Source organism: Homo sapiens, chromosome 1, assembly GCF_000001405.40.
Source record: "Homo sapiens chromosome 1, GRCh38.p14 Primary Assembly".
Lineage (NCBI taxonomy): Eukaryota > Metazoa > Chordata > Mammalia > Primates > Hominidae > Homo > Homo sapiens.
Window position 1 is genome coordinate 153110741 of NC_000001.11, and position 9855 is coordinate 153120595.

Genomic DNA, 9855 nt, shown 5'->3' on the forward strand with positions numbered 1-9855 from the left:
TAAATAAATAAATAAATAATTAAAAAAATTTAAAAAAAACCCTCTTTAAAAAAAAAAAAAAGAAATACCATTTGATCCAGCAATACCATTACTGGGTATATACCCAAAGGATTATAAATCACTCTACTGTAAAGACACATGCACACGTATGTTTATTGTGGCACTATTCACAATAGCAAAGACTTGGAACCAACCCAAATGCCCATCAATGATAGACTGGATAAAGAAAATGTGGCACATATACACCATGGAATACTATGCAGCCATAAAAGAGGATGAGTTCGTGTCCTTTGCAGGGAGATGGATGAAGGTGGAAACCATCGTTCTCAGCAAACTAACACAAGAACAGAAAACCAAACACCGCATGTTCTCACTCATAAGTGGGAGTTGAACAATGAGAACCCATGGACACAGGGAGGGGAATATCACACACTGGGGCCTGTTGGGGAGTGAGGGGCTATGGGAGGGATAGCATTAAGAGAAATACCTAATATAGATAATGGGTTAATGTGTTCGGCAAACAACCATGGCACATGTATACCTATGTAACAAACCTACACGTTCTGCACATGTACCCCAGAACTTAAAGTATAATAAAAAATTTTTAAAAAGGAGTAAGTTTTAATATTTGATAGCAGAGTAGGGTGACTACAGTTTACAACAACATATTGTATTTTTCAAAATAGCTAGAAGAGAGGAATTAAAATGTTTCCAACAAAGAAAGAAATGATAAATGCTCAAGGTAATGAATGCCCTAAATTTCCTAATATCATGACTTTATCATTATACATTTGATCCATGTAACAAAATATCACATGTACCCCAAAATGTGTATAGGTATTAAGAATCAATAAAAAATAGCAAAGAGAGTCTTCTTATTTTCTATATTAGTTACAACCAAGCCATTCTATTGCTGGAACAAATATGGTAGTGGTTGTCGTGGGGAGTGATGATGATGATGATCTTGATGATCATGATGATGATGATGATGATAATCATAATGGTGGAAACGATGATGATATGTTGCTGCGAATAAACCTCTATCAAATGACAGCTAATCATGTGTTAGGCATTGTGCCATTAAAATTTCAGATAGTAATTCAATTTTATGCCTTAGACAAGTTTGTTAAGTAAATGTTATTTTGCTCACTTTGCAGTAAAGAGATTGACATTCAGAGAAGTTGAATAATATGTTCCTCAAATCAATCAAACACTAATTAAGGAAAATAAAAATAAAAAAATACAGAAATAATCTTTGATATGTCCCAAATTGTGAGATCCTGTCTGTGGATGAAAGAAAAGTGGAAATATACCCAAATGATTATAAAATATTGCTAATAAAGCATATTTGAAAAGAAACAAAAGATCCATTCACAAATATATATGCATAGATTCTTTATTCAGGGAGTGAAAGGAAAGTGACAACTGCACAGGTGGTGGAAGCTCATGCCCAGGGGACAGACAGACACAGAAAACATCAACAGAATTCTCTAATGGTTCCCAGGGAGAGAGCTGCTCTTTCTTCTGAAGCTCTGGGAGCTGGCACAGCCCAGGACTTCCTTTGCTCAGTCTCCACCTGGACAGTGGCAGTATGGCAGCCTCAAAAAGAAAACCTTTTGCTATCAGAGATCATCACAGGCCGATCACAGGCTAAGAGGAAAGAAGCTCCCTGTGTATCCCTGGATGGCTTTGATGAGAAGATGCAGGTGGAGCTGTGGAACGAGGTGAGCCAATTATCCTTATCCTTTCATGCTCCTGATGAATCCTGAAGCTGTTACTTGCTCTTGGGTGGACACTTTGGCTGGCAGGGTGGGGAAGGTGTCACAGGAGGACATTTCTGCTGGCACTGCTGAGGTGGGCAGGACTGTGGACACTTTGATGGTGGGCAGGGCTCAGGGCACTTCGGGGGTGGACATGGCTCTGGGCACTTTGGCGCGGGGCACACAGGAGGTGGCTGGCAGGGCTGCTTGCACTGCTGCTGTTGATAAGACATCCTGCTGGAGTCTCAGAATCTGAAAGAAATTATATGACAGTGTTCACGGGAAGGGAATCCTCCAGAGAGAGAAGCCAAAGCTTATGTAATACCATGGCATATTATTTCTCCAATCTCCAAGAAATTATTTAAACTCTTAATTCCCTTTTCAAGAGTCCCTGGCTTCTCACTTCCACTTCAGCGAATTACTTCATTGTCCCTGGGAACTCTTGTGTTTTCTCATATAATTTTTCCAAAGAAAATATCTCTGTAGTAAACAACCAAGCATGTTATTTCTATGAAAATAACATCTTCAAGAAAGGCAGTCACAAGTTCAGATACCCAGGGCTATCTCACAAGCTATTCCTGTTATCATTATCTGTTGTAAAATCCCAGTGGGTTGACATAGGCACACAGAAAACGACTGTTTGGGAAGAATTGCATGCTCTCACACCTGCTACGACATAAACCTTTGAAAAGGACACCAGAAAAGCAGAGAAAAAAAGAAAAATACTTTGTTATTTTTTCTTCTTCAAATCAAAGCTTTCCCCTTAACTAACTTCTCTGTCCATATGAACACCTAACTCTGTACTAAAAGAAAGCTAAAATAGCATATCATTGTGCTCTAATCCTAAATTTCCATCCACTAAGTAGCATCAAATCAACATTCATAGGATTGGATCAACCAAACTTGCTGTATTCAGATTAAATTCAACATTTCAGGGCACAAAGAACAGAGGAACTCCAGGAAGCCGACTCACCAGGTTCTCCAAGGCAGATCGGTGCTTAGGTACCAGGAGTTTAGGAGTCGTGCAGCAGAAAACCTCTTTATAGGGCCTGCTACCCCTCCCAGCAGAAAGTGTAACTGCCAAAAGCTACACTTATCCAGTAATTTCTTAAGCCAAATGCAAATTTATCCACAACTGGCCTGACAGTGATTATCAAACTAGGAAATATCCTGTTCTGGGATCTCCCCACTGGGTTAAGTGCTCCTGACTCACAGAGGCCCTGCCTTAGATCTCAGTTTCAGTGACCTATGGCAAAGAGGGACTTGGGGGATTCTCTAACTGGTGGTCAAGGGCTCTCTTTTTTGACTGGGGGCAATGATCCTTTCCTGTCTTACACCTTCCCTAAATCATAAAACTTCCTGTCCTGATCCACTTTACTGAATGCCATATTGTTGTACATGAACCCATCTCCACCTCTACTTTCCTTGTACAATTTGCCAATGCGCTAAAAGGAAGGAGAGACCTAACAAAGGCCTGGGTTCTGGTCCCAGATTTTTTTTTTTTTTTTTTTTTTTTTTTTTTGTTGCTAAGTTGTGTGACCACAGGCAGGTCACCTCTCCTCCCTGTGATTATAAGCAGGGGAGAATCATACTTACCTCTGGAGATGGGAGCTGACCGCATTGTGCCATCTGCTGACCCTGTTCAAGCCAGAAACTTTCTCCTCCACTTCTATCTTTCTCTCTCATAGAACCCTGGATTTTACGATTTTCCTTTCCTCTTTGAAGCTGTCTTCTCCACCCAATTTGTACAGGCAATTGTCACCTGGGACAGATTCCAGAGTGACAGCCAGTCTCCCCAGCACATTTGCTACTTGCTGCCATTAAGGATGTATACTAGCGCCTTTTTATTTATAAAAATGTATTCTTTGCTACCACATTAAGGAAACGGAGAGACATGAAACAAAATTACAAGCATTCATTCAAAATCTATGTATTGAACCATGCCTATATGATTCCCTGAAACCACCCTATAGAGCACAATCTGCATAGACTCACATTATCATATGTGAATAATTAGAAGTAGGTTTGCAGAGTGGAGATGGTCAGCGCACCTAAAGTCTGAAATCTGGGGGAAAATACAAATTAAGTATAATCTAATATGTATTCTTCCCCTCTGTTTCTAAACAGGTTTTAGGTGTTTCTCAGTGTTTTTTAATTTGTTTGCATGTTCTTTCTCTGTCTTTTCCATAAGCCCCCTAGTCTCATGACCTGCTAGATTATCAAGTCACACCCCAATGTACACCTCTCATCTATTCATTTTGGTACATATTGTTCACTCAACATATATATTGTCAATGCATATAGTGACTCCTCTTTCATATCTTTTGTAAACTCTTCCAGCAATTAGTGAGGCTTACTAAACATGGTATATTAAATATTTAAGTTGATGTTGCTAGAGCTTCCTTAGACCAGTAGTCAGAAAGCTTTCCAAGAATGTGGTTTATAGTTGGAGAAGAAGAAAGGAAAATGAGGAAGAGGAAGAGGAAAGACTCAAAATCATTGGAGCAGTCACCAGCTATGCTCCAGGAAGGGTAGGAGTGCTGAATCAACCCAGCATCACATCCCTCAGTTAAGCAGGTTAGGTTCCCAGAGCTGCCATTGCTCCCGTCAATAAGGAAGGGCTTTGGGGCAAGATCACTACTGGCCAGGACAGTACAGAAATAAAGACATCACGTCAGCACCTTAAGGCCAGGTATTTACAAATGGTGTTCTCACCAAATTACCCCTACAGACTATTACGCATGCTAAGCACATCAGGGGACAAAGTAAAGGGCCTTTATTCAATAGGTCACTTACTACTCCCCAACAGCCTCACATCACATCTAAAACACAAATCCTTAGAGAAATGTCTGATTTCTAACATGCAAAATTGGAGAATTGGCTGCCAAATGAGATCACTGTGTAAGATAATACAGTTTGAGTCATGCCCTGAGACTCCCCTTCTGAGAACACCCCACTCAAACAGGCTGTTTATCACAGCAGTGCAGGCACCAGAGTGGCAGCAGCCCTAGTGCCCCCAGCATCTCAGACAGGCTCACTTTACAAGTGAACTTGAAATTCAGAGTTTCTCACAGACCAGCTACATGAGGAATGGCCACAACATGAAGAGGGGCAGCTAACAGTCACAGCTTCCCCAAGTTAGGACATCCAGGCCCTGAGACATGCAGCAAGGCATACTTTACACACACACACATACCCACCATGGGTGTGTGTCTATCTATCTATCTATCTATCTTCTATCTATCTAATGTGTCATCTATCTATCCATCTACCTTTCTATTATCTCTCCACATATATAAAGAAGTTAGCTTTATGTTCTTTAACAGTCTGATAGCCTTAGGTCCATTTCTCCTACTTTTACTCCATAATTTTTGAAGGGATTATTAAGTTTAAATCATTACTACATAAAAATGACAAGAAAGAACAAAAGCTTTTGAACTTTTGTGTTATTCTTGATTCAACTTCTATCTCACATTTTACTACTATGCATTTTACACCATTAAACAAAATAGTCCTGGCAAATTAATATTCTGCCATCAAACATGCAAGAAGAAACAGGAATTGTGGGAAGATTTTCCTAGCCTTAAATAAATCACTCTAAGTCTCTGTGAATTTCTGCTTCTGTTTTATTCCTGAATATAGGCTTACATTCCATCATTATTCCATAATTTTGCTTAATCAGATAAATTATGGGACATTAATGTTGCAGAATTCTTAAGATCATTAGGGAGGATGTTTTAGAAGACTATTTAATATTATTTAAAACATTCAAATTATAGTAAAAGCATATATAAAGCATGACAACATTTTAACATTTATGTATGAAAAGATAAGAAATACCTAAAACATTTTATTAAATGTGATTCTGTTTGGTTGGTGTAATTACAGATGATTTTTATTTTCTTATTTTCCTTTTCAAAATATTCTCCAAATGTTACCTATTATTTTGTAAAGACTTAAAATTCTGCTTTGAAAAGCTAACAAGAGACAAGTCTGTCCATAGCTCAATTAGTGAGATAATGATCTTTTTCCTTTTAAGCATCTCTGGCCAAACACCAAAGGTGGGGCTGGACGTGAGTAGGAATTGTTTTATTATTATACCCCAACATTTAATTACCTCCCTATTATAATCTTTCTTGAAGAAAATTCCTAATAATAATCACCATTCCTCCTACCAGTGACATAAACACAGAGAAGCCATAGGCACCCAATAGCCATACATGTCTATGAAACAGTTCACCAAAATTGAGAGATCATACCAGGGTAAAAACATCAGGAATGAGTTTGTCTACTATCTGAGAGCCAGAAAGACAGTAATCATAAAATTTGTCCGATTATGATGAAATTGGAAGAAATTGATAGTTATTAAGACAGGTGGTAAGGATAAAAGACCAAGTGATAATAATAGTACCTACCATTAAATTGTCAAAAGAAAAAAATTAAATCAGAAATTGCACATAAAGTACTTAGTACATTATGTACTTAGACTTATGACTACAGATAGTACTCATAATAGTAATGTAATACATTGTTAATCAAAGAAATAGAGCCAAAACTTCAAGTTTGAGATGTGTTTGATGGTAAGTTATTTGCTTTATCTTTAAGATATTTTATATCATATTTCTTTTAGGTCAGAGCCAGAAGATTTTAGGGGGAAGCAAATGAAAATATTTTATTTGAATGAGGTGTGGTGAAATAATAAGATGGGCTAACCGTGACACTTACTCTTATGTGGTGAAAATGGGAGTTAATCAAAGAAGAAATGTAGAATAAAGTACAGAAACAAGATAATTTAATTGTTCTTAGTTATTTGGACTAAGATTGTCTTCTGACTACTGTTAAGTACAAAAATAACTAAATACAATAAATGCAATATGTTAACTGTGTTAGTTTGCAGAAAATTGACATTGTAAATATTTAGCATTCTGTATAAAAATATATAATGTAATCTCTAATCTAGTTTACTATTACTATGATTAGCTGTTCAGGACAATAAAAAATTCTCTCACTTAAATATCATATTTATTCTGGTGGCAGATTACTTAAATTTCAGTCTAAGTCCTTATAAGGAACTGAATCATTCATTAGCATTAACCTTCCCAAAGAAAATAAGGCCTGTAAATTCTAGTTCTATTTTCTCTAAATGTTAGATCAGACTAGTTAAAAGAATAATTTCAAGAGCTATCAGAAATACAGATGATTTTGTATGCTTTGTGTTAGGGAGATTAAAAACATGGGCTAAGAAATAGAATAAATCTGACACTTCTCCTCTTAAGAATCTTTTTAAGACAGTGAATGTGCATGGATTTAAAGTTGCCTCCCTTCACACACACAAAAATAAATAAAGGAAAGCAAGTAAACCGGACAAAATTGTGAAAAACTCTGGAGTGGAAAAGCAGTTTAAACTCTAACATAGAAGAGGGCTGACAGCATTGTACCATAAGTTAAAGAGAAGTTAAATAAAATATAAACAGAAAAATCAAAACTGACTCATGATCTCACAGAACTAAACATAATTTTACCATAGCATCCATCATCATGACTCCTAGAAATTCATGTAACAGATTTCAAAATATGCCCACAAAAAATAACCTGGATTCAAATGTTTATAGTAGCTTTATTCATAATTTCCAAGAATTATGATCCACCAAGGTGTCCTTCAGTAGATAAATAGATAAATAAACTGTAGTATATCACACCCATAGAGTGGAATACTGTACAGTGACAAAATGGAATGACCTATCAAGACTCACAAAGACATGGTTGAATTTTAAATGCAAATTGATAAGTAACAGAAGGCCGTCTTAAAGACTACATACTTTAAGGTTCCATATATGTGACTTCAGTAAAAGATAAATTTACACATCCAAAGAGTTCAACAAACTCCTAGTAAAATAAATTCAAAGAGAGCCACACGGAGGCACATTATAATCAAACTATCAAAGAGAGAATATTCAAAGCATCAAGAGATAAGTGAATCTTCATATATAAGTGATCCTTAATAAGACTGTTGACCAATTTATCATCAGATGTCTTGGAGATCAGGAGGCAGTGGGATGATATAATGAGAGTGCTGAAAGGAAAAAATGGCAACCTAGAATTTCGCTTCTGGCAAAATTGTACTTAAAAAATGAGGGCGAAATTATAACATTCTCTAATAATCAAAACCTGAGGCGGTTCATTGCTCCTAGATTTCCTGTGTGAGAAATGATAAAGAGAGCCTTTTGATTTGAAGTAAAAGGATGCTAGAGAGAAATTTGAAACTGTATGTAGATATAAAGGTCTCTGGTAAAAGTACATGGGCAAACGTAAAAGCCAGCATTATTGTAATTTTAGCTTGTAACTCCACTTTTTATTTTCTACAGGATTTAAAATGCAAATTCATAAAATATAATTATAAGCCAAAGTTAGTGGACATGCCACGTAGAAAGATGTAATTGGTGAAATCAATAACATAAAAAGGGGATAGACTTTTGTCAGAGTTGAATTTTTTATGCATTTACAGTTAAGTTGGTGTTAATTCAAACTAGATAACTGTAACTTTAGGATGTTATATATAATCCCCATTGTAACCCCAAAATAAATATCTATAGAACATATACAAAAGGAAAAATAAACACAATCAAAAAGTTTTTCTACAAGGATCAACTGAACACAAAATCAAGCAATCATGGAAGAAATGAAGGACAAACAATATACAGTAAATGCGGAAGGAAGACCTTCGTCATCAATGATTACTTTAAATGGAATTCCTTGAATGGAGAATTAAACTTTCTAATCAACAAACAGAGATTGGTGGAATGGATAAAAAAGAAAAAAGATCCAACTCTATGCTATTTAAGAGAGACTCACTTTACATGGAAGACACAACGGTTGCAGAATCAGGAGAACCAGAAAGACCACGGGGTAAAAGGAGGAGGATTTATTGAATGCACTCAGACCCAGAAGATTAACGTCAGAAGATGTGCCAAGAACAAAGACAGCACTTAACTTTTATACACACTTTTAAAAGGGGATGGGCTAGCTTGAAGCAGGCTTACAGTGGCGTGAAAGTGAGGATACAGAGGCAGAACAAAGACAGTTAATCAAATTTTAACAGGTTCATAACTCAGGATTACACATGACTGTTGCTATGTAACCAAGATGGCCGTTATCTAGGTTTGCCCTAGTGCCTAGCACAGCTTATTCCATGACCTTCACTACAGCGCCCAGGTGGCCATAATTCAGGCCTGCTCAGACAGCTCATGTCCTTCACTGTTCCACTTAGACAAAACAGAATACTTGAAGTTACTAGATACAGAGAACAGGAATCTATAAACTTATACCATAAAAGAAAGGAAAATTTGTTTTTCTCCTCCCTGTGTTGAAAGAGTGCTGGGAGGGTCTCCAGAGTAGATTTCTTTGTGTACTAGCTTCTTAGATAATGTTTATCAAGGCTTTTCCTGGGTCTGGGCTGTGCCTGTTGCTGCCTCTGAGATAAGTCAGCCTAATACAGGAAAGCTTATTTCTTTTTCTTTTTAATTTTATTTTTCTTTCCTTCCTTAATTTCCCACCTCACAAACAGGGTGAAAGTAATAGGATGGAAAAGTAAATTCTATGCAAATAGAAGCCAAAAGAGAGCTGAGGTGGCTAAACTAATATTTTGTAAAGCCATACTTCAAGTTAAATACCATTATCAGAGACAAAAAAAGACATCATATATTGATAAAAGGATCAATTTACCAAGAAGATATAGCTATTATAATCATACATTCACTAAATATCAGAACTCCAATTAATATATGAAGCTACACTGAAATAAATTTTTTAAATAATTGACAGATCTATAATAAAAGTTGAAAACTTCAATATTTCACTTTCAATAATGACTAGAATGACAGAAGTTTGAAAAAAAAAAAGATGATTTGCGAAAAAGTATAGACCAATTAGACCTAAGAGGCAAATAGAGAATACTCCACCCACCAACAGCAGAATCCACATTACAGTTTTCTCAAGAGAACATGGAACACTCCCCAGGATAGATCATATATTATATTATGCTGCAAAACAAGTTAATATATTTTAAAAGACTAAAATCATACAAAGTACTTTTCCA

General features: G+C 36.4%; 1 protein-coding gene across 2 annotated transcripts; it reads right to left on the bottom strand.

Moving 5' to 3' along the window:
• Positions 1 to 1380: 1380 nt before the first annotated feature.
• Positions 1381 to 8728, bottom strand: SPRR2F (small proline rich protein 2F). Of its 2 annotated transcripts, none has more exons than NM_001382255.1 (2): positions 8613 to 8728; positions 1381 to 2012 (listed from the first exon to the last, which is right to left on the bottom strand). In NM_001382255.1, exon 2 carries the CDS (start codon positions 1991 to 1993, stop codon positions 1775 to 1777), a length of 219 nt encoding a protein of 72 aa, NP_001369184.1. In that variant the 5' UTR covers positions 1994 to 2012; positions 8613 to 8728; the 3' UTR covers positions 1381 to 1774. The 2 variants fall into 2 exon arrangements, with proteins under 2 accessions (NP_001369184.1, NP_001014450.1); NM_001014450.3 differs by lacking the exon at positions 8613 to 8728 and adding an exon at positions 2734 to 2776.
• Positions 8729 to 9855: the final 1127 nt, after the last annotated feature.